Source organism: Homo sapiens, chromosome 1 (genome assembly GCF_000001405.40).
Source record: "Homo sapiens chromosome 1, GRCh38.p14 Primary Assembly".
Taxonomy (NCBI): Eukaryota; Metazoa; Chordata; class Mammalia; order Primates; family Hominidae; genus Homo; species Homo sapiens.
The window spans coordinates 61,850,073-61,876,128 of NC_000001.11; the positions used below are offsets into that span (position 1 = coordinate 61,850,073).

The following is a 26,056-nucleotide window of genomic DNA, read 5'->3' on the forward strand; positions in this document are numbered from 1 at the left end:
TGAGTTTGCCATGGTAGCTTGGATTTGTCATCTAGGTTTTAGAGCAATTTCACAGCTAGAGCTCTCCACATCTTCGAGTTGATGTCTCTGTCTGTGACAGAGCCTGTTTCCGCTGAACCACCTCTCCGCTCTAGGTGATGCTCTTGCACTCTCCCTTAGCTTATGTGAAATCTGGTCTCTTTGATCTTTGGGAATGTACACAAATATTCATATAATACATTTTATAGACACATCAGAAACTTTGAATCCCATCCATTTGGGCATAATGATTATCACATGTTTGAATCTGTTCATGTAACAGTCTTCTTACGCCCACCAAATGAATGGATTCTTGAGAAAGTAACTGTACATTGAAATTTGGCAAACAAATGCATGTTTTACCTGTACATGCAGGCATGCTGCACATTCTGTACCCTCTAACTTTTCATCTGCTAGGTACTGAAACATGAACCTCTGGTGGCCAAGTGCAATATTTAGGGGATTCAGTTTTATACACTTTGGTAAGATGATAAAAATATCTTCTAACATATTTGTCTTCTTTCAACATTTCATTCATTTAGCAAATACTTAAGTTAGAGAAGCAGCATTGCTTAGTGTGGCTAAAAGCACAAACTCTGGGAATTGACTGGCTGGCTTAATTTCTGGCTCTGCCATTTACCAGCCATGTGCTTTGGTTAAGTTATTTAATTTTTCTCAATTTCCTCACCAGGAAAGTGGGGATAATGTTGGTACATACCTACCTCATGATGGTGTGAGAATTAAATGGGTTCAAATAAATAAGATTCTGAGAACAGTGCCTGGTATGGCAAGAGCTTAGTAAGTGTTACCAGCTGTTGTTGTTATTCCTATATGATGGGATGTGGCTTTTGCTTTTGGTGTACTTGCCGTCCAGTGGGAAGACGCAAACTAAATAGATAGTCATTCAACATTTTAACTACTCTTCAGTGCCTTCTCCATGACAAGCATTGTAGTAGGCCCTGAAAATCAAGCAAAAACTAAGCAAACACATTCTTGGTCTCATAAAGCTTACTTTTAGTAGGAAGTAATTTAAAGGAAATAATTTACAATAATTTCAGTAAAATGTAAAAAGTATTTTAATGAAGAAAATGCAACAAGCTGTGGATACATCTAACAGGAAGACCAAACTAATTCTAGAAGGTCAAATAGTAAAGGAAATATATTATGATAAATGCTGTAATTGAAGGTCTTTTTTGGTTTAGGGATATCACAGAGTAGGAAGTGCTTGGGTCTTCAGGGAGTAAGGGAATGCTTCTCATTGGAGGAGACACTTGAGCTGACTCTGGGGCAAACTCTAGACAAGTGGCAGTGGGTCAGGGAGGGCGTTCGTGGCTGAGGGGATGGTTTGCATTAAGCCACGCAGCATGACAAGGCCTTTCACAATACCTGGGATAAAGTGTTGGGCAAACGGGAGCAGGCAGTGATATGTATGGGGAAAGTGAGAGACGAGACAGAACTGCAGTTCTGAAGGATTTTCCTTCCACGAAGAATAAAGGAGTTAGGACTTTATCTTGAAGGCAGTAGGTATCCCTGAAGTACTGTAAGCAGAGGAGGAATTATGATCACCTTTTTATTTTTAAAGATGGTTCTATTATCTCTCTAGAAAATTGACTCATGGGGGCAAGATTAGAGACAGGTAGACTTATCAGGAAACTGTAGCAGCTGCTCAGAAGTAACGAGAAGCTGAACCAAGGCTGTGGCAGTGGAAATGGAAAGGAAGAATCAGAAGAGATAAAAGGCTGAGATAAAAAGAACTGACATGCCTTAGTGAGCAACTCAATGGAGGGGTGAGGGGGAGAAGGGAATGCTTGAGTATATGCTGATGCCACTCAGAGGATATAGGGAGGCCAAGGCGGGAGGATCACTTGAGGCCAGGAGTTCGAGACCAGCCTAGCCAATATGGCAAAACCCCATCTCTACTAAAAATAGAAAAATTAGCTGGGAGTGACGGCACACACCTGTAACATCAGCTACTCAGGTGGCTGAGGCATGAGAATCCAGCCTGGGTGACAGAGAGGGATTCTGTCTTAAAAAAAAAAAAAAAAAAAAAAGAGGTGTAGGGTACAACTTTCAGAAATAAATGGGCTGAACCAAACATATGGTACACTGTTACAGTGTGTATAATAATATAAGCCTTTTGAATAAAGAGGAAAAAAATTCCTTCAGAAGAGAATGGCTCCCATAGTACATGTTTCTCATGTTCTATGATTGGTCTCTGGTGCCCTCTATTGGCTATTTAGTCTAAAGCGGCATCTTGATTCTTAAACACAATGTTCCTTGCAGTGTTATTTACCAAAAGAAGAAATATTAGAGATTTTACAATTATGATGAAAGGTGATAAAAACTGATGGGGATTTTGTTTTTAGTAGGAAGACAGTTAAAATAATTTCAGCAAGGTGCCATCAGGGGTGTGCACATTGGCAGCACATGTACTAAAATTGGAATGATACAGAGATCAGCACGACCCTTGTGCAAGAATAACATGCACATTTGTGAAGCGCTTCATATATTTATCTATGTAAATATGCCTGGGGGCCTGGGGGTTGGGTAAGGGTTTTGAGAAGTGTCTCTATAACATTTGTTTGCTATAACATGCACATAATATCATAGATTGTATTTTCAGAAAATGGACCTTTCTGATGAGAAGCAGCCTGAGTCAGGCTGGTGTTTGAGCATTTTTATGCAGCAAAGCCTCAAGAATAGCAGCCACCTCAGTAGGCAGTAGCAGCTGCTGTTTTTCCATAGGGTGGCTGCTGCATGTGATGTAAAGGAAATGAAAGGAAATGACTGTTACTCATTAAAGCGATTTCATTCAGCTACGTGGGAAATCACAGGCAGAAAAGTCATCATAAAAAATGAAGCAGTGATTATACATAATGGGGCATCTTCAGAGGTAGCTAGTTTGTCCCCTCCCTGCCCCCCAAATGACAAAGAAGCTGCCTTTGGGTTCTGTCGTCCAGGAAAAGGGGTGGTAGATTGGATTTAGTGTTTAGCATAACTAGTGGTCTAAACCTGAATACATTTTAGTAAGAAAGCATTCCTGTCACTAGTTTGAGGTCTAAAGAAGGCCTCACTTTGTGTAAATTAGTGCTCACAATGACTTTTCTGGCAATAAGGAAAATATATTCACCTTTCAAGGGTAGAAGTCTATTTCCATTTCCTTCTGGTGAATCGTCCTTTAGAATGTTCCTAAATTATCAATTCAGTGGGTTGCATTTTGAAAACCTCCTCACCTATTTGGGTTAAAAATAATATTTTTAAATTTTGGTGTTATCTGAAACTGCAGAGATTGTTCACAAACAACTTGGTGCAACCATTTATTTGCTTTTGGTATATTTTGCTGTTGCAGTTTTCTCTAAGGAAGTGTAGAAATTATTAATATGAAGTAATGTTAGCTGCTGGGCAGTTCATGAGAGGAATAAGCTATTATGTAGTCTCCCTTCTCCCCCCAATAAAAAAGCCTTTCATCAAAAACTGACATCCTAAATGAAGGAAATAATTGTACAGCTTATTTATTAGTGTGTCAAACTTAAAATGTAATGGTTTCATATTTCAGGATGAAAAGTGTGTTGTGATTCATGGTTGCCAGTGACAAAATAGACAGCTCTTTTATATTACCACGTCGATTGCCTGCTGATATGCCACTGTACTTTTTGGTTCTCTTCTGTTCTCTTCCTATGCAATAGCTCCCTCTACTTGAAAATACTGGTGTAATTATAGTTTAACACTACTTTATTAGTGAGTTCCCTGGGCTCTTTTTTACTTTTAATCCTCTTCATAAATATGTGGTGTTATATTACATCAGAGCCTGTAAGAAAATTTTGAAGAGTCTCTTGACTCGGGGGTAGAAAGGCAGGGTTAGTTGCAAAAAGCAAGATAAGTTACATTTGAAGGCATTCTTCAAGGAATTAGCTGTGTAGCCTTTGTTGATTTAAATATGGTATATTTGGTTAAAATTCCATGCAGTACTTTGAAAATGAACCCTGATGTTTGAAACACAGAGGCATAGAAAACTGGATCAGAAAACTTCAAAAGAATCATCAGCCACTTCAAACAGACATAGCCGGGAACTTGGCAAGTTCTTACTTTGCTAATTCCAAAGTTTTGTAATTCCCACAGAAAACCTAGCAGTTTTTCTCTACTTTCTCTGGAAGGTTTTAAGAGAGGCTAGAGTAGTAGAATCTCAGGTTACAATATGTTGCCTTGTGGAACAGCATGTGCATAATGAAACAATGGGAGAAGCATAGAGAAACCAACGTGAATGCTGCTGTGATTGGGATGTCATTTTTTCTCTCCCTTGCTAAGTTAGAAGTTCAGTAATAGTGCCATACACCTCCACCATTAAGACAAATTAAGAGACTCTGCTCAATCATAAGATGGCCATATGAATATTTCTTTCTTCTCAATTTACAACTCTTTGTTTCCCGTTTCTTCTGACCATTAATGATGCAGAGCAAGCTGCAGAGTGAGGTGGTCAAGAGTAAGGACTTAAGAGCCAGGCTGCCTGGTTGGATTCTGGCTATGCCACATATACGCTGGGTGATATTGGCTAGTTTCCTTAACTTTCTGAGCCTCGGTTTCGTCATCTGTAAAACACAGACAATAAATTTGCCTACATCCTGGAGATGTAAGGATTAGATAAGTTAGTGATTGTCAAGCCCAACATATAGTAAGTGCTATATATCAGTTGGTTAAATAAATTAAAAAACAGTAGTGGAGATATAAATTGGTTTTCATTAACCAGATGTATTGAATGTCAATGTTGTCCTCGGTGTTTAATATCAAGAAATATGGGGCTCTCCCAACGGGTGAAAGATCTGTATGTTGCTTTTGTTCATAAATTCATATTTAAGTGTGTATTGGAATAGTTGTGACCTAAGGGTACTATATCATAATTTTAGGTCACATTATTTATAAATATACTTTTTAAAATACAGTGGAATCGTCCATGGTTTCCATGTCTTTTCTGGATTTGTGTGGTTTTATAGGAGGATTCTGTACTACTGGTGAAGGTATAAGAACGGAGTATCATTTCCCATTTTATATTTATGATTACGTTCATGCTTTTCTTGGAGCTTACTTACGGCTCTAGAGGAGTAACAGACAGGCTTATCTTTGGTCCATCATATGACTGTGCTTGAGAATGTCAGAGAATCTTGCCCAGCTGTTCCCAGACCTCGTATGGTCCAGCCAAATATCAATCACCAAAAATTTTAACAGGAAATCTATATATTTTGGGCACTCAGACATGCCACTGAAATTGTTAAGATTATATTTTCACCTTGATACAACCTGATATTTGCGTGATGTTTTATTTATTTATTTTTTGGGACAGGGTCTTGGTCTGTCACCACAGCTCTGCAGTGAGCTCTGAACCACAGCTCACTGCAGCCTTGACTTCCTGGGCTGAAGCAATCCTTCCACCTCAGCACCCCCTGCTCCACCTCCCTGGTAGTTCGGACTACAAACACACACTACCACACCTGGCTAATTTTTGTATATTTTGCGGAGATGGGATTTCGTCATGTTGTCCAGGCTGGTCTTGAATCCTGGGCTCAAGCAATCCTCCTGCCTTGGCCTCCCAAAGTGCTGGGATTACAGGCATGAGCCACTGCACCTGGCCTTTTAATTTTTTTAATTACAAAAACTTTTTCTAGCAAGGTCTTGCTATATTGCCTAGGCTAATCTCAAACTCTTGAGCTCAAGCAGTCCTCCCACCTCAGCCTCCCAAGAAGCTGGAATTATACAGAGGTGTACAACCATACTTGGCTTAGAGTGAGATTTTAATTTATTTTTACCTGTTTAGAAGATTATCACCAGAGTGCCAGACACATGAAGTAAGTGGTCAAATAAGATTCATCAGTCAACTCAAGCTGTCCTAAGGCTGCATATTTATTTTCAGTGCATGGACTCATCCTTCTTCTTTGCTCGATTCACAGGACCCTTTAGATCCTACAAGATCAGTGATTGTGATCCGCTCCCTGGTAGCAGATGGTGTAGCAGAAAGAAGTGGGGGACTATTACCTGGAGACCGCCTGGTCTCAGTCAATGAATACTGTTTGGACAACACCTCACTTGCTGAAGCTGTGGAAATATTGAAAGCTGTGCCACCAGGCCTAGTACACCTTGGCATCTGTAAGCCTTTGGTGGTAAGTGTTGTATTTTGTTAATATAGGAAGTGATAATAGTGCAACAGTTAAAAACATGGATTTTGGAGACACATATACCTGGCCAAGAATTTCTGTTCTACTGTTTACTATGTGTGTGACCTTGGGCAGGTTTCTTAATGTCCTTGACTTACAATATCAGAAAAAATAATGTCTACCTCATAGGGTTTTGGGATTTAAAGGTTATATTCATTAAGTGCATAGCATATTATTACATAAATACTAGCTGCTAATGTTGCTAGTTCTACTACTACCACTCTTACTACTATTTTCATCTTTATGCTTTTAGCACAGACTTCTAAGCTCTCAGCACATTTCTTATGTGTAAATTATTATTATTATTATTTTATAGACAGAGTCTCTCTCTGTCATCCAGGCTGGAGTGCAGTGGCACGATCTTGGCTCACTGCAACCTCCACTTCCTGGGTTCAAGCGATTCTCCTGCCTCAGCCTCTCAAGTAGCTGGGATTACTAGCATGTGCCACTGTGCCTGGCTACTAATTTTTTGTATTTTTAGTAGAGATGGGGTTTCACCATGTTGGCCAGGCTGGTCTTGAAGTCCTGAGCTCAGGCAATCTGCCTGCCTTGGCCTCCCAAAGTGCTTTTTTAGGGGTGTGAGCCATTGCACCTGGCTATTCTTATATGTAAATTAAAATAAGTATCCATTTTAACTTTCATTTGGGAATGGTGTCAAGATGGTATGATAAGTTGAAATCCTTGCAGCTATAGCATTTTAACCATATAACACTGAGAGTTTAATATGCTTTTCTCTCCATCAAAGCACCTTGTAACTCCTAGCATCAAGAACCCCTATAATGTCAAACCATCTTGAAGTCATCTTGTTGCTTTATCTAATGGTCAGGTTACTGCTTATGACTGAAGGCTACATTACAGTTATGGTGCTCTGGAGGCCTCTAATGCAAAAAACAAACCACCACCACCACCAACAACAAAAACTTAATGATGATGATTTTCAGCCAGTTTTATTATTATTAAGTGCTTACTAAATGTCATTCTTTCAAGCCCTTTACACTTATTAACTATTAACTAACCTAATCCTTACAGCAACTTTAAGAATAGTCCTTTTGTTACCCTCATTACAGATGAATCAATCGAGGCACAGAGAATTGAGTAACTTACCCAAGTTCTTATAACTAGTAAGGGGCAGAGTTGTAATGTGCACCCAGCAGGGCACCTTCAAACCCTGTGCTCTTAGCCACAGTGCTGTACATGCCTGTCTTACTATGTTGTCACTTGCCTAGTTTGTATGCAGCATGTCTGAAACAGATAGCTTGGTTGTAATAAATTGTTAGTCTGGATTTCTAGAAACCTGGGCTCTGCCCCCTGGCTTTGCTATGAGTTAGCCCAGTAGGTTTCAAACTTAAAGATATGTAATATATATAAGAATCACCTGAGAGGTAGTTAAAATGCAGTTTCCCAGGTTCTACTCCCAGAGATTCTCATTTAGTAATTCTGATATGCTCTTCAGGAATCTACCTCTTCAATGGGTCACCTATGTAATTCTGATGCAGAATTTTGTACTTTGAGAAACATCGTACTAGTAATTTGATCAATAGGTATACCACTTCTCTAAGCCTATTTTTTTCATCTTTGAAAAGACTGAATAAGACTAGAGAATTCCGAAGGTATTTTTTTAACTCCAATTCTTTAATGTATGAAACATTTTAACTTAACATACGAATAACATACTATAAGTGCTCATATGTATAGATAGATGGATAGGTAAATATAGATAGATGTGTTCATTGTATTAGGCTGTTCTTGCATTGCTGTGAAGAAATACCTGAGACTGGACAATTTGTAAGAAAGAGGTTTAATTAGCTCACAGTTCTACAGCCTGTACAGGAAGCATGGTGGCATCTGCTTCTGGGGAGGCCTCTGGGAGCTTTTACTCATGGCAGAAGACAAAGTGGGGGCAGGCACTCGTATGGCAAAAGCAGGAGTGAGAGAGAGTTGGAGTGGGGTGGGGGATGCCACAGAGCCATACTTTTTTTTCTTTTTGGAGACAGAGCCTCACTCCGTCATCCAAGCTGGACTGCAGTGGTGCAATCTCGGCTCACTGCAACCTCCATCTCCCAGGTTCAAGCAATTCTTCTGCCTTGGCCTTCAAGTAGCTGGGACTTCAGGCGCTCACCACCACGCTCAGCTAATTTTTGTATTTTTAGTAGAGACAGGGTTTCACCATGTTGGCCAGGCTGGTCTTGAACTCCTGAGCTCAAACAATCCACCTGCCTTGGCCTCCCAAAGTGCTGAGATTACAGGCGTGAGCCACCACAGCTGGCCATGCCACACACTTTTAAACCACCAGGATCACATGAGTACTCATTCATTCACCATCGCGAAGACAGCACCAAGCCATGAGGGATCCACCCCTGTCACCCAAACATCTCCCACCAGGCCCCACCTCTAGCTTTGGGGATTAAAATTCAATATAAGATTTTGGCAGAGACAAATATACAAACTGTATCAATCATATATAAATAGATTCATGTACAGCATATGGTATTTTTGCATGGGAGACCAAAAGGTGGTCTTCATGTATTACTTTTTTATTCTGGCCTGTGTATTACATCTATCAGACACTTTAAATATTTCAAAGTGGAATATAGCACATAGCTAAGTAAGTTCTTGACCTTTTGTGTATTTGGTGTGGGTATTGCCGTGGTCAACAGATGATGCCATGAGGTGCTTGGTTTGTGTTTTGGATAAATTAAGGACAGGAAAACTATTAATGTTTTTATGGGACCTCATCTTCTTAATGTTTTGGGTTGTAGCAGGAACTTTGTCTAGACTTTCCCTGATGGTTATTTGCCAGATTAGTGTGGCTGCATGGGGACATCCCAAACTATTTGTGTCCTAGAGCACTTCAACAGCAGAGCCTTTACCTTCAAGCAGTTTTAGGAAGTCTCGGGCCATTTAACAAAACAAAACAAAAACGAGTTGGTAGCAACTGGGTGTGGATCCTCATGCTATTTCTGGTGGAAGGACCTTGGAGCATTACTCTGAGAGTGTTTTGGAACATAATGATTGTGGGTGGAACTTCACCCAGGCCTCCCTCAGTGAGTCCAAGGCTGCCAAGAATACTTAGGAGTGGGAGGCCAATGAAGGGATTGAGAGAAAGGTCAATTTCAAGAATTTTTTTTCTTTTTAACTACTAAGTAAGCTTCCTTTAACATCTGGGGTCTTCTGGGAAAACTGCTCATGAGCTATAAATAGTGATTCAAGGAACCAGGCATGGATCTTCTCTGAGGTGTCTCTCTCTCTCTCTCTCCCTCTCTCTCTCCCCTTCTCTCTCTCTCATAGTAAAATTGACGGCCACTTATCTAATTAACTAATTTTTTTTTGTTGTTGTTTTTTGAGATGGAGTTTCACTCTTGTTGCCCAGGCTGGAGTGCAAATGGCGTGATCTCAGCTCACCGCAACCTCCGCCTCCTGGGTTCAAGTGATTCTTCTGCCTCAGCCTCCCGAGTAGCTGAGATTACAGGCATGCGCCACCATGCCCAGCTAATTTTTGTATTTTTAGTAGAGACAGTGTTTCTCCAGGCTGGGCAGGTTGGTCTCAATCTCCTGACCTCAGGTGATCCACCCGCCTCGGCCTCCCAAAGTGCTGGGATTACAGGTGTGAGCCACTGCGCCTGGCCTAATTAAGTAATGTTTACTGAACATTTACTCAATCCACAGTGCAAGTGGGGACAGAGAATGTGAATAAGCAGATCCCAAGTCAGGGTAGAGCAGAAAGACTGTGAATATATAATGGTGATGAGAACAAATTATTTGTATTAAGTCTTGTATTTATATAGCTATAGTATGTATATATCTATACACTTCATGTTATATATTTTCATCTTAGCTCTTTTCTAAAAAGAGGCTTAAAACCTAGGTGACAGGTTGATAAGTGCAGCCTCAAATATATCAGACCCCAAAAATGAATGAAATGACTTATTTTTATTATTTAACATAAAAATAGAGATGGGGTCTCTCCATGTTGCCCAGGCTGGTCTTGAACTCCTGGGCTGAAGTGATGCTTCTGCCTCAGCCTCCCAAAGTGCTGGAACTACAGATGTGAGGCACCACGCCCTGGCTGAAATGACTTTAAAAACTGCATTATATCTTCAGAAGTGATGGAGCAGAACTGACAATAAAACTCTTGAGCCAGACAGCTATGGGTTTTTGCTTAGTTATGTGGTTTGCAAGGCTACGTGTCCTTGTGCCAGTTATTCAACCTCATCAGCTTCCACTTTGCTCATCTGTAAGATGAGGATTGGCTGTACGCGGTGGCTCACGCCTGTAGTCCCAGCACTTTGGGAGGCGGAGGCGGGCAGATCACCTGGGAGGTCAGGAGTTCAAGACCAGCCTGCCCAACATGGCGAAACCTCGTCTCTACTAAAAATACAAAAACATTAGCCAGCAAGGTGTTGCTTGCCTGTAGTCCCAGCTACTTTGGAGGCTGTGGCAGGAGAATCGCTTGAACTGGGGCAGTGGAGGTTGCAGTGAGCCAAGATTACACCACTGCACTCCAGTCTGGGTGACACAGCGAGACTCTCTGTCTCAATTTAAAAAAAAAAAAAAAAGATGAGGATTGCATGGCATGATAATTGTGAACATAGGCTCTAGTACCAGACAGCCAGGGTCGAAATTTTGGGATATGTAGCGTTTGGCAAATTACTGTGTCCACTTTTGCTCACCAGTAAAATAGGGCTAATAAGAGGACCCACGTTTTAGAGTATATATTAATGTATTAATTAATATATTAAATATATTTACAGTACTTAATTTTGTGCCAGGTACATAGTTATATATACAAGGTCTATTCCTGGGAAAGTGATTTTTCTTTAAGAAATACTTTAAAAAGTTTGGGAAGCTCTGACCTGAATATGGAGTTCTTTTTAGTTATTAAAGAAAGTTTGTTCTAATGAAACAATTTGAATAAATTTTGTGTTGTGTATTTGTCTTAATGGAAAGATGAGAATCTGAAGAGTTTGAAACCAGGATATTTTCTTTCTTTCTTTTTTTTTTTTTTTTTTTTTTTACGTGAATGAATCTTTTCTTTTTTCTTTCTTTCTTTTACTTTAAGTTCTGGGATACATGTGCAGAATGTTCAGGTTTGTTAAATAGGTATATGTGTGCATTGGTGATTTACTGCACTTATCAACCCATCATCTAGGTTTTAAGCCCCGTGTGCATTAGGTATTTGTCCTAATGCTCTCCCTCCCCTTGCTCCCCACCCCACAATATTTTCTTATTTATAAATAAAAGTGGTTTATATTTTCAGGAAGATAATGAAGAAGAAAGTTGTTATATTTTACATTCAAGCAGTAATGAAGACAAGACTGAATTTTCAGGAACAATTCATGATATAAATTCATCTTTAATACTCGAAGCACCCAAGGTATTTAATAAATTTATTTCCCATTTGAATGATTTGCTATGAGCTAAAATTTCTATGTAGAAAGAATAAAAAGAAAATAAGACAAAAGCTTGTCCTTATCCTTTGGCTAAGTAGAAATAAATAAAGACATAAAGAAGACAAAAGCTTGTCCCCATCCCTGGCTAAATAGATATAAATGAACTAATCCTCCTTTCTCTCTCTCTCTCTTTTTTGAGATGGGATCTCCCTCTGTCACCCAGGCTGGAGTGCAGTGGTGGGATCTGGGATCTCTGTAATCTCTGCCTCCCAGGTTCAAGTGATCCACCCACCTCAGCCTCCTGAGTAGCTGGGACCACAGGCATGTGCTACCACGTCTAGCTAATTTTTTGTATTTTTGGTAGAGATGAGGTTTTATCACGTTGCCCAGGCTGGTCTTGAACCCCTGAGCTCAAGCAATCTACCTGCCCCAGCCTCCCAGAGTGCTGGCATTACAGGTGTGAGCCATTGTGCCTGGCCTCATTGTATATATACATATATATATATAGTTGTTGTTGTTATTTTGTTTTTTTTGACAGACTCTCACTCTGTCACCCAAGTTGGAGTACAGTGGTGTGATCTCGGCTCACTGCAACCTTTGCCTCCCAGGTTCAAGCAATTCTCCTGCCTCAGCCTTCCGAGTAGCTGGGACTACAGGCGTGCGCCACCACGCCTGGCTAATTTTTGTGTTTTTAGTAGAGACAGGGTTTCGCCACGTTGGCCAGGCTGGTCTCGAACTCCTGACCTCAGGTGATGTGCCCACCTCGGCCTCCCGAAGTGCTGAGATTACAGACGTGAGCCACCACGCCCAGCCTATTTTTTTAAAACTAAATTCTTTCCTTCCATATCACATTGCCTCTCTAAATGATAAAGGCACGACGTAAAGCATTTTCAAAGAACAAACATACACTAATGTATTCCTAAAATTTTGGATGGTAGAACATATTGTTGAAAATAGACCTGCATTTAAAATGCTATAAAAATGGAACTACACAAAAAGTATTCATATTGAATACTTTCTAAAGAAGAGTTATTTAGTCAAACCCTACCTTATGCTTTAATTTTAGAAAATTTATTTTGAAGCTTTCCTTTTTTATTCTTAAAAGGAATTATACTTATGTTGCTCTTTGCAGTTAGAGTATGGTTTTGCTTTACTTGATAACAACTGTCTAGTGATATTCTTTGCATAATATGTAGACAGTGTCTCAAGATGATATATGTTTCTATGATGTCTATTATATTTTTTAGTGCCGACATTTTAAAAATTTCATAACCATATGATGTGTTCAAATACATCCTCTAACCACATTAAAAAAAAAATACAGGGCAGTATTACTGTTTTCAGTTTTTTTTTTTTTTTTTTTTTTTTTTGAGATGGTATCTTGCTCTGTTGTCCAGGCTGGAGGGCAGTGGTGTGATCATAACTCACTTCAGCGTCAGTCTCCTTGGCTCAAGCAATTCTTTGCCTCAGTCTCCCAAGTAGCTGGCACCACAGGCGCATGCCACCATGCCTGGCTAATTTTTAAATTTTTTTGTAGAGACGGGGGCTCACTATATTGCCCAGCCTGGTCTAGAACTCTTGTACTCAAGAGATCCTCCTGCCTTGGCCTCCCAAAGTGCTGGGATTACAGGCATGAGCCACCATGCCCAGCCCTACTGTGTTAATTTAAAAGCTTCACTACAATGATGTTTAGCTGCAAGGAGAAGACAATAGAAAAGAATAGATTTATTCCAGGAATTTACTTCTTGGTAGTAAAGAATAAGACTTAAAATAGGAAAGATCTTTGATCTCTTAGAAAGAAGAGGACCTCATTATGCCCGGCACCCAGAGGTTCTCCAGAGATAGGTCATGGTCTGAGCAAATCTATATGCCAGGTTTTAGCCAGGAACCCACACAGTTTCTGCACATTTAGTTTCAGTGGTATGCACTAGCTGTTCTGATTAGTGAAATATAAATTAATTTTTAAAATACTGTATTCATTCCTTCATATTTATTTTCAACACAGATGAAAAATAAGATTTGTTATTTTTTATATTATAAAAGAGTCATACTCAAAGTAGAGACATACTCCCCATATCTTTAGTTTATAGAGAATGTTTTCTGAACATTCAGATAGTTATAATTTCTTTTGAGTTATTTAAGCTTGAAAATCCTGACCTTTTAAGTCTTTGCTTTCTTAAATAATAGTTTGCAGTGTATGTATACTTATGTACTACTTTTTATGGGTTAAATATTTAGTGTAAGAGTTTAACAAAATTCCTATTTCTAGTGGAGAATTGTCAGGTGGTTAATGTATAATGAACGTTTTAGCAAAATCATTCACCTTGCCAAGGGCAGATTTCTGCCTCATAATTTACTATTTGTCCCTCTTCTGGGTTAAGGATTGTGTGGAGGTGAGCTTGTGTTTCTCCATGTTTGCTGTGGAGAGCTGTGCATGTTAGCTGTGCCTTGGCATATGCAGTCACGCCAGCATTTGAAAATTTTCCAGTTTATCTATATAGTGCAGCTTCAGGACAGGCGTAACTTCACATTTTTTTGCATCTTTTATTTATAGGGATTTAGAGATGAACCATATTTTAAAGAAGAACTTGTGGATGAACCATTTCTAGATCTGGGAAAGTCTTTCCATTCCCAACAAAAAGAGATAGAGCAAAGCAAGGAGGCCTGGGAGATGCATGAATTTCTGACTCCTAGATTGCAGGAAATGGATGAAGAAAGAGAAATTCTTGTTGATGAAGAATATGAGTTATATCAAGATCCCTCACCATCCATGGAGTTGTATCCCTTGTCGCACATTCAAGAGGCCACTCCTGTGCCCTCTGTGAATGAACTTCACTTTGGTACACAGTGGTTGCATGATAATGAACCATCCGAGTCTCAAGAGGCAAGAACCGGGAGGACTGTCTATTCCCAGGAGGCACAGCCGTATGGCTATTGCCCTGAAAATGTGGTAAGAGATTAGAATAGATATTCCACACCTCCCCTTCTGCTCTCCTCGCCTGTCCCTGTCTCTAACTCATGTCACTTCAATGTTGTTTGTTTTTAAATGGGCCTTTCCGTAAGTCGTCACTGTTTACAAGATGTGTCATCCAGTGTCTAGCTGTAAGTATAAGCTCGTCTTTTCTGTATTTCACATCTTCTCATGGGGGTCAATAAACTGCAGTTGCCTTGCTGTTGTTTTAGGGCTTTTTGCTTTGCTTTTTTAGTGATGTTTTTCCAATTTCTCATTTCAGAGAAGAGTTCTTTTAACATTTGTGATTTAAAAAAAAAAATTCCCTGGGGAAACACAGCTGTATATTTTTCACATAGTTTATTTATCAGGCAAAATCAAGGCCAAGTTAGTACATACATATTCTTGTTTATATCTTGGTCACCCACATTTTTCTCTGTGTTATGTATGATGCTAAAAGCACTCAACTCTAGAAAATTATCTTTACACTTGAGATGCTATTTATTTACAACTTGGAGGGAAAGCATTGTGTGTGTGTATATATATACGTGTATATATATGTATATAAAATTTTCTTTTCTCTTTTTTTTTTTTTTTTCTGAGACAGGGCCTCTCTCTGTCGCCCAGGCTGGAGTGCAGTGCAGTGGCATATTCATGGCTCACTGCAGCCTCGACCTCCCAGGCTCCATGGATCCTCTCACCTCGGCTTCCTGAGCTGCTGGGACCACAGGCATGTACCACCATGCCTGGCTAGTTTTGTTTTTTTTTTAAATTTTTTTGTAGAGATGGAGTTTTGCCATGTTGCCCAGGCTGGTCTTGAACTCCTGGGGTCAAGCATCTCCCATCTCCCATCTCCCATCTCGGCCTCCCGAAGTGCTGGGATTACAGGTAGGAGCCACTGTGCCCAGCGAAGAGCATTATATTTTAATAGATTTGCCTTTACTATTATATCACCAATAAACTTTATTTTTCATAAAATTATAGTCAAGCAGTCACTAATTGGAATCCTTAATTAAGGACTTTAAAAAATATTTTTGTTTTTTTTATTTCCTGCCCCAAATTAACTTTTAGGCAAATGGAAACAGACTTACTGTATGGGGACATTTTTAAAAAGACAGCTTAGTAATATGTTCATATGCAGCGTGTTGCTTCCCTCTCTGAGGTTGGCACCTTTCCTGTTGTGATGTGCAAAGTGTGGCTTCAGGTGTTCTCTCAGTGGGCAGATAGAGGGTGTTTCTGCCCTTGCCTCCCTTAGACATTTCCTCACTTTGTCCCTCATGCAAATGCTGGTGGCTTCCTCTGTTGGGCAAGGTGCTGTGCTGGTTTTATTTATGTGACCCTGGAGGATTCACCATGATAGAGGGCCCTGGGCAGTGTACCAGAGAACAGATGTTTTTGGAATATGTGAATGATGCCTGGTTGCCTCTGGAAAGAGGTCACATGGAATCTGGTGTGCTCCGTTGACGTTGGTACTTTCTATATTTGCCAGTCCCTCTCATATCTGTCAGTGCTTAACGCCAAACAGCATACATATTCAGTTATATGAATCAAATTGGAAAGATTACTGAATATTCATAAAAATTCCCTTGTTCTGTTTTCTTCTATTAAAAGATAATTTTCTATGTACCCAAATAAAAGGCAACCTGAAATACCAGTTCATATATAAACTTTGAAGGCTATAGATGAAATGGTCAAATGTATACTTACGATATTTACTTTGTAAGTTTAGTTAAACATTCAATTTGAAAACCTGTGAGATGTTAAATTTTTTTTGCCTATTCTCATATTTAATTATATAATTTTATTTGAATTCTTCAGTGCATATTTAATGTCAGTATCTACATTATCACTAGAATCACTTTTTGATCGTTTAACACAGCTTTCCAAATATATCTTCATTTCTAACTAGGTTGTTTGAGATACAGCAATTTTTGAATCTGTACTGTCACTCAAAATTTTATTCTTATCTCAAGTGTCATTTGTGTAACGTTAAGTTAAAAAAAAAAATCCCTCTTATAAGTTTGTATTGATGCTCTTCACAATATAACTGTTACCGGAAAGAGGTCCTGATCCAGATGCCAAGAGAGGGTTCTTGGACCTCGCACAAGAAAAATTTGAGCGAATCCATAGAGTAAAATGAAAGCAAGTTTATTAGGAAAGTAAAAGAATAAAAGAATGGCTACTCCATAGATAGAGCAGTCCTGAGGGCTACTGGTTGCCCATTTTTATAGTTATTTTTTGATTATATGCTAAATAAGGGGTGGATTATTCATGCCTCCCCTTTTTAGACCATATAGGGTAACTTCCTGATGTTACTGTGGCATTTGTAAACTGTCATGGCGCTGGTGGGAGTGTAGCAGTGAGGACGACCAGAGGTCACTCTCGTTGCCATCTTGGTTTTGGTGGGTTTTGGCTGGCTTCTTTACTGCAACCATTTTATCAGCAAGGTCTTTATGACCTGTATCTTGTGCCAACATCGTGTCTCATCCTGTGACTTAGAATGCCTTAACCATCTGGAAATGCAGCCCAGTAGGTCTCAGCCTCATTTTACCCAGCGCTATTCAAGATGGAGTTGCTCTGGTTCCAGCACCTCTGACATAACCACTTACTCTATTGTTTGTTAAAGTGTTCTTCAAGAGGCTTGTTTAAAACAATAGTCAGTGCTTACAATTTGAAGAATGCATATTCTGATTACTAAATCTATGTTAAATTTCCTAGCTTCCCTCTTTTTATTTCTCATTACTGATTCAGCCATACTTGCTTGTTATTGCCATTTTCTTCCATAAAAAGAAAATTTTCTGTTTACCGAAACAAAAGGCAACCTGAAATATCAGTTTATTTTAATGTATACACTTTTAAGGCTGTAGATGAAACAGTCAAATGTATATTTATAATATTTACTCTGGAAGTTTACTTATTCATATTTTAAAATCTGTAAAATTTTTTTTTTTTTTTTTTTGCCAATTCTCACGTAGGCTGTAAAGGTAACCTCTATAGGCTCCCCAAACCAGCATTGAGTAAGACTATTTCAGCCCGAATGTTTCTTGCCTAAACAGTATTTTATTTTCTTTAAGTAATTATATGTGCTTTCTTAAGGTATTGGCTCTTTTCCTCCCTTCCACAGTGAGGAACACTTACACCCGTTGATCAGGATGGGCTTGAATATTTGCCCCCATTGTATTGCTGATGGACCCTTGTGATAATTTATCTAATAATATTATCTAATATTATAAGCTCTGAGAAGATTTTAAAAACACATTCAAATCCCTTACAAATATGTAATTCCCAATACTATTCTAGAGGGTGCCCTCCCAAATGGTGAAGGAACATTATTATTTCTGTCTTGGTTGTAATATCCATTTGGGGCTATAGATGTCAGCTATATTTGTGGAGGGCAAATGGTACCTAACTACTTCAAACTTTATCTTTCTCTTCCACCCTCATACTTCACTTTAGCTGAAGAGTAAAAACACTAAAGGTCTATAGATCTGGGTATTTTTTAGTTATAGTAAAAGACACACAACACACAATTTACCATTTTAATCATTTTTAGGTATATAGTTCAGTGGCATTAAGTACATGTACATTTTTGTGTAAACATGGCCACCATGTTGCTACAGATCTTATCATCCCACACTGAAACTCTACTCATTAAACAATAATCTGATCTTTCTCCTCTCTCTCTATCCCCTGCCAACCAAACACTATTTTATTTTCTATCTCTAAGAATTTGACTATACTAAAGCAACTGAAAAAAGTGGAATGGTACAATATTTTTCTTTTGTGTCTGGCTCTTTCACTTAGTGTAATGTCTTTAAGATTCATCCATGTTGTAGAATATGTCAGAATTTCCTCCCTTTTTAAAGTTGAATAGGCCGGGCATGGTGGCTCATGCCTGTAATCCTAGCACTTTGGGAGGCCAAGGTGGGTGGATCACTTCAGGTCAGGAATTCGAGACCAGCCTGGCCAACATGGTGAAACCCCATCTCTACTAAAAATAGAAAAATTAGCCAGGCATGGTGGTGCATGCCTGTGGTTCCAGCTACTCGGGAGGCTGAGCCAGGAGAATCGCTTCAAACTGGGAGGCAGAGGTTGCAGTGAACTGAGATTGCGCCACTGCACTCCAGCCTGGGCAACAGAGAGAGACTCCGTCTCAAAAAAAAAAGTTGAATAAAATATTTCCTTATAGATATATGTCTCGGAGAAAAAACTTCTCCTCTACCCTCTATTTTGTGCCTGGGAGAGTGCAAATTAAACTGACATAAGGCATTAACAGGAGAATAAAGTTTTATTTATACACACATGAACGCAACAAAAGAAGCAGCAAGCTCACTAAGTGATTAAAGTTAGAGCTTACATACGTAACATGGGGAAAGGGAGGGCAGAAAAAGCTTCTATGAGAAGAACAACTAGGTTTGTTTAGGAAAGACAAACGGGTTTTTAGGAGAACAAATGGAAATAACATTTTTTTTTTTTTTTTTTTTCTTTTTTGAGACGGAGTCTCGCTCTGTCGCCCAGGCTGGAGTGCAGTGGCGCCATCTCGGCTCACTGCAAGCTCCGCCTCCCGGGTTCACGCCATTCTCCTGCCTCAGCCTCCCAAGTAGCTGGGACTACAGGCGCCCGCCACTACGCCCGGCTAATTTTTTGTATTTTTAGTAGAGACGGGGTTTCACCGTTTTAGCCGGGATGGTCTCGATCTCCTGACCTCGTGATCCGCCCGCCTCGGCCTCCCAAAGTTAACATTTTTGATTATGTTGATAATTTTTTAAATGCAGGGCCACTGATCCTTCTGTTTGCTTATTGCCATTCCTCAAGAGGGCATTTATAGTAGCTTACTCTCAATCTTCCTGGGGGTCGACCCACCTCAAGAGGGAATGTTTGATAGCCTCATTTCCTAGAACTTGCTGCTTAGTCACATAAGGGAAGCTCTGAGAAGGCTTTTTTCTGCATCTGTTAAATCTAAAGTATCTTTAGTTTATAATAATCTTCATACTGAAGCCAGATAGTCCCCTGACCCCTTTGTGGGACTTGTGACAGAGGTGCCCTGTTTACTCAGCCCACTGCTCTCCTCGAGGGAGGGAGTGTGTGAGTGAACAAGGTGGGAACTGGAGTACATGCCTGCTGGAACCATCTGACTGCTTTGGCACTGGCAAGAGTAAACTCCACTCACTCAGACCTGCAGCGTTCACCCCTCATGGGAGGGGAGCACTCAGGTGAGCGGGTGCAGGAGCCTGGGCAAGCGCTTTTGGGTACTGGCAGGAGCAAATTCTGTGCAGGCCCAGCGGCAGCATCTAGGGGAGGTGCGTGCAATCCCCGAAGCCCCAGTGGGCGTGTTACGGTGATCTTTTAGCTCTGCCATCTGCGGACGGCTTAAGTGTTAACAGTTCAGTGAGCCCTCTGCCTTTTCACGTGAGGCCGCTGCCCTCTGCCAGCGAGGGCAAAGGGCCAGTGTGACAGCCTTTTGTATCCACACTTGTGGCTCCTGAGCGCTTTCTGGTATCCAGGAAAAATGAGGCTGCATGAATGAATTGAAGGATGGCAAATGCGGGGATTTTATTGCCAATAAAGTGGCTCTCAGTGGGAAGGGGAGCTGCAAAGGAGATGGGGAGGTGGGTAGGTAATCTTCCCCAGAAGTCCAGCCATCTCTGGCTGGATTATTCTCCAGAGTTTCACCATCAAGCTGTCCCTCTAAAGTCAAGCTGCTTTTCTCTGATGTCCAGCTGTAGTCCCTGACATCCAGCTGCTTCTTCTCTCTGCCAGCTGAGTCTAGGGTCTTTATAGGCACAGGATAGAGCAGGGCGAGGGCATGGGTGGTTTAGGAAAAGGTAACATTTGAGCAGGAAAACAGTTTGGGCCATGGTTTTAGGCTTGAGGGTGGGGTTTTGTCAGGGACCTGCCCTTAAATTTCTCTGCCTCCTGTCACTACCAATACCAACTCTGAGGTTCCTATAGGTCCCCACCATATATACCACATTTTGTTTTTCCATTCATCTGTTGATGGATATTTAGGTTGTTTCTACCTTTGGCCATTGCGAATAATGGTGTTATGAACATTGGTATATAAATATCTGTTGAAATCCCTGCTTTCAGTTCTTTTTAGTATATACTCAGCAGTGGAATTGCTGGATCATATGCTAATTCTATATTTAATTTTTGGGGAGCTATACTGTTCTCTACAGCAAGCAGCTGCACCAGTTTATATTTCCATTAGCAAAGCACAAGGTTTCAAATTTCTCCACAGTCTCTCCAACACTTGTTTGTTGGCTTTTTGTTTGCTTCTTAGGAGTATAAAGTGCTATCTTATGTTTTGTTTTGCATTATCCTAACAATTAGTGATATTGAGCATCCTTTCATGTGCTTATTTGGCCATCTTTATGTATTCTTTGGAGAAATGTCTGTTCAAGTCCTTTGTCCATTTTTTAAAGATTTGGTTTTTGTTTTTTTTGTTTTTTTTTTTTTGCCTGAGGGTTATTTACCTAAGAATAATTCTATGTTCTTATTTTCTTCTCTTTTTAGAAAAAAAAACTTCTCTATTTGAAAAAAAAAACCAGAAAAAAGAAATTCTTGTTTATTTAATTTATTTTTTATTTTTTTTGAGATGGAGTTTCACTCTTGTTGCTCAGGCTGAAGTGCAATGGTGCAATCTTGGCTCACCGCAACCTCTGCCACCCAGGTTCAAGCGATTCTCCTGCCTCAGCCTCCCAAGTAGGTGGGATTACAGGCATGCGCCACCATGCCTGGATAATTTTTTGTGTATATATATATATGTGTATATATATACATATATATGTACATATATATGTGTATATACACATATATATGCGTATATATATGTATATACATATATATGTGTATATATGTATATATACATATATACGCATATATATAAATATGTGTGTGTGTGTGTATATATATATATATATATTTTTTTTTTTTTTTTTTTTTTTGAGATGGAATCTCACTCTGTCACCCAAGCTGGAGTGCAGTGGTGTGATCTCGGCTCACTGCAGCCTCTGTATCCTGGGTTCAAGCAATTCTCCTACCTCAGCCTTCTGAGTAGCTGGTATTACAGGCACCCACCACCACGCCCAGCTAATTTTTGCATTTTTTAGTAGAGATGGGGTTTCACCACATTGGCCAGGCTGGTCTCAAACTCCTGACCTCAGGCTATCTGCCCACCCTGGCCTCCCAAAGTGCTGGGATTACAGGCGTGAGCCACCACGTCTGGCTTTTTTTTTTTTTTTGTATTTTTAGTAGAGACGGGGTTTCTCCATGTTGGTCAGGCTGGTCTTGAACTCCTGACCTCAAGTGGTCCACCCACCTCGGCCTCCCAAAGTGCTGGGATTACAGGCTTGAGCCACTGCTCCCAGCCAGAAATTCCTGTTTATAAATATCTCACCTATCATACCCAATGTATTGAAATCCCAGATTTGGATATCAATTTTCTTCTTCTTCATTTACTATTAACAGAATTACCATTAACTTTGTTTAAGAAGTCCAAATGGCCCCAAATTACAACCTTCTTCTTTTTAACTGCTCAGTTCCTTCCAAATCCTCACTGTTTTCTGTAAGAAGTTCTTGCTTATTTTATTCTAGGCAACTATGTAGTCAGATCCCCTTTCTTACCCCTATTTAATATTTGAGTTGAATTCTATGTTCCTTAGGCTCCATTAGTTATCTGATATAGTTACATACTTACCCGAGGCGAGCAAAAATCACCTGGTGACCATGAAGCAGACCATCTGGAGGCAAAACTCCTTATCTGAGGAATTTAGATGTATAATGAAGAGAGCAAAGATTACCTGGTGGTCATCAACTATGCCATCCAGAGGCAAAACTCCTTATCTGAGGAATTTAGAAGCAATTAGACTTCCCTGTTATCTAAAGCCAGCATCTGGTTACCAGGCTGCTTTCCCAAAAATTTATAAGTAGCTAGAATTTCTATATGTCTCCTGAATGCATGCATATCGAAACTCATTGTGCAGCCTTTGCTGACATCAAGGCACCAACATGTCTACAAATGTAATCAATCTATCATGACCTGCAAAACTAATAGGGTCCAAATTACCCTTACGCTCCTGCTTTAAGGTCTATAAATACCCCTAAGGAAAATCCTCGGAGGCCCACTCAGTCCTCTCTTGCTGAAGCGCCCCACTACAGTGTTCTTTCTGTCTAATAAAACTTGACTTTTCAAGCCTGTGCTGTTGTCAGTAAATTCTCTTTACTACCTGCGTGCCAATCACTTTCTGTTGCTGGGGCTCTGCTACCTTGCCCAGCATTACCAAATTCATAATCTACTTTGCAAAGCTGGAAGTATTTTGTATATCGGCTTATGAATGATCCTTCTCTTATCATTGAAGTCTGACCACTTTACAGAAAAAGTAGACCATTTTCAAAACAAAATTCACATTTTGTTTTGAACAACCAAAATTCCAGCAATAAAGAATAACATAGTGTTACCTTAAATAAATTATGGTACATCCCTAAGGTGGCTATAAAATAGTCATTTAAATTTGTACTGATAAAATTTCTTATTTTTATTATTTATTTATTTATAAAGACAGGGTCTCACTCTTTTGCCCAGGCTGGAGTGTCATGATCACAGCTCACTGCAGCCTCACCCTCCCAGGCTCAGGCTATCCTCCCACCTCAGCCTCCTGAGTAGCTGGGACTGCAGGCACACACCGCTATGCCTGGCTAGTTTTTATAATTTTTTTGTAGAGATGGGGTTTCGCCATATTGACCAGCTTGTCTCAAACTCCTGGCCTTAAGTGATCTACACATTTTGGCCTCCCAAAGTGCTGGGATTATAGGCATGAGCCACTGCACCCGGCAATAAAATTTTTTAAAATATAAAAAGATACTTAAAGTGAAAATATGATGTTTTCTATCTTAGTCTGTTTGGCCTGCTATAACAAGATACCATTAACTGGGTAGCTTATAAACAAAACAAATTTATTTCTCACAGTTATGAAGGCTGGGAAGTCCAAGATGAAGGTGTCCACACATTTGGTGTCTGGTGATGTTAGAGGCAGGAGGCGGACAAAGGCTTAGGCAGATTAGGAAGGGTCCCTGGAGAATCTCTGACCTCCCCTACAAGTGTTTACACCACATGTTTTGTACAGATAAGGGAACCTGCACAGGGAGTTTGCCTAGGCATGCCCACAGCAGGCTGGAGACCCATGCACTGGGGGGAATGGGGTGGAGCCACCAGGAATTTGTGTCTTATGCAGGGGAGGAGCCTGGCCTCTTCAGCTGCTGTGGGGTGGCCCAGGTATTCAATTTGGGATGTGAAAATCTGCTTGCGGGACCCCCTCTCTTTGCTGAGAGCTTTCTTTTTGCTTAAAAATTCCACCCTCCTCACTCTTCAGTGTGTCCGTGTGCCTAATTCTTCCTGATCATGAGACAAGAACCCAGATTAGCTGAGTTAAGGAGCAAAAATTCTGCATCAGTGAGGGCCCCCTTTCTGGTTCATAAATGTCATCCTTTAGCTGTGTCCTCACAGGGTGGAAGAGTGGAATGAGCTCCCTTGGGCCTATTTTATTTATTTATTTATTTATTTATTTATTTATTTATTTATTTATTTTTGAGACAGTGTCTCTCTGTCACTCAGGCTAGAGTGCAATGGCCTGTTCTCAGCTCACTGCAACTTCTGCCTCCCAGATTCAAGTGGTTCTCCTCAGCCTCCCAAGTAGCTGGGATTACAGCCATGCACCACCATGCCTGGCTAATTTTTGTATTTTTAGTAGAGACAGGGTTTCCCCATGTTGGCTGGGCTGGTCTCAAATGCCTGGTTCAAGTGATCCACCTGCCTTGGCCTCCCAAAGTGTTGGGATTACAGGTGTGAGCCACCACACCCAGCCCCTTGGGCCTATTTTATAAAGGCACTACTAATCCCATTCACCAGGGCTCTGCCCTCATAACTCTATCACCCCACAAAAGTCCCCACTTCTAAATATCTTCACCTTGGGGGTTAGGATTTTAACATATGAATTTGCAGGGTCAGGGGAAACATAAATATTTTAGCATTCTGGAAGATTGTGACTTTGGAAAACCATAAAAAACATGTATATAAAAGCAAGATGGGAGGAAAATGCAGTTAAGTTATCAACAGCACTTATCTGTAGGTTTTAGGTTTTAGGTTTGATAACTTAGGTATTCACCAGGCAGATAAGAGTGCTAACAAACGCTTATAGATATGAAAATTTATCACATATTTTGGAGTCAGCAAGGAAGCTATTTATTTGTAGATATCAGAGCAACACAATCCAGGAGGCTGTGTGTATCAGCAGTTGACCTTGCTTGACTTGATAGATCTTTTATTCCTCTACCTTGGTAAATGTTTATTTAAATCCACTTATTAATGCTTATAAAACAGTTTTTTTGGTTAAAAATCCAAGTTTTAGAATAAACAGATTTTGTTAGCCTATACTCTTGCAGATATTGTTACCAGCATTTGTTACTGCTTACCACAGTATAAACCATTACTTGAGAATGCCTGTTTGCAAGGCCAGTTTTCCACTATCATTATTACTTGGCTTGATCAACTGTACAGTAATACATTTTTTTCATAAAGTACTAATGCATTTCTATTTTTCTTCCTCTCAAGATGAAAGAAAATTTTGTCATGGAGTCCCTACCATCTGTACCATCAACTGAAGGAAACAGTCAACAAGGCAGATTTGACGACCTGGAAAATCTTAATTCATTAGCAAAAACTAGTCTGGATTTAGGTTTGTGACTTTTGTTTCTCATAAACACAAATTACATTATTTTGCAAGCTTTCAGTTTTATGTTTGTATACATGAATTTCACCGTCATATTTTTATTCATTATGATGCTTTGAATTTATGTCTGCTTAATAATTAATCTGCTTCAGAATTACCTGAAAGAATAAACATGCCTCAGATTTCAACTTAGAGTTTTCAGATTCTGTTTTTTGAGAAGGCTACATTTTCTCTGCCTCATGTTGCATTTTATTAGCAGTATGGATTGAAACTCAGACTAGAACCTTACACCAAATCTGAAATAAGTCTCTACTAATATATATTAAAATCTCTGATGCTCTTAAGTAATATTGCTAGCTCATTTAATGGGACTGTTAAATATTAATAAAGAGAGGCATATTTTAAACATTTATGAAACATTTTTATAGCCATATATTACAGTCAATTTTAGTACATTAATAACTTAGTTTCCATTAAAGAATTCTAAAAGTATAGTGCCTCTCCCTGCTGCCCCTCAATATCGATTCTTATATATGTTTGAAAAGTTGACTTTAAAAAAGAATTTTTCTTCATCTAACACTAAAATATTGAATGTCATTATAAAATTGACATCCCTAGGGAGATTGTTAAATGCTTTCATAGCACTGGGATTTATAGAGCCATTGTTGAGGATTTATGCTGTCCTTCACTTGTTATGACTACTTAAAAGTCTTTCTCTGTGTTGTATAGTAATATGTTGTAAGGGGAGAGAGGGCTGTAGAAAGTGAT

General features: G+C 39.7%; 1 protein-coding gene and 1 pseudogene across 24 annotated transcripts in view; both read left to right on the forward strand.

The window, feature by feature from the left end:
* The window catches only part of PATJ (PATJ crumbs cell polarity complex component), a 421,436-nt gene that overhangs the window by 107,593 nt on the left and 287,787 nt on the right, over positions 1-26,056 (forward strand). For 22 of the 24 annotated variants that reach the window (XR_007061928.1, XM_011540462.4, XM_011540467.4 and 19 more), the window contains 4 exons: positions 5,958-6,167; positions 11,479-11,595; positions 14,166-14,561; positions 25,171-25,294. Coding sequence is in view for 23 of the 24 variants with exons in the window: in XM_011540462.4 (XP_011538764.1) it covers positions 5,958-6,167; positions 11,479-11,595; positions 14,166-14,561; positions 25,171-25,294 (847 nt within the window). In the remaining variant the exon portion in view is untranslated. Of the gene's footprint in view, positions 1-5,957; positions 6,168-11,478; positions 11,596-14,165; positions 14,562-21,159; positions 21,267-25,170; positions 25,295-26,056 lie in introns of those variants that run through there. The other 2 variants (XM_011540470.3, XM_017000001.2) reach the window with 2 other exon arrangements.
* On the forward strand, positions 2,427-2,530 carry RNU6-1177P (RNA, U6 small nuclear 1177, pseudogene; annotated as a pseudogene).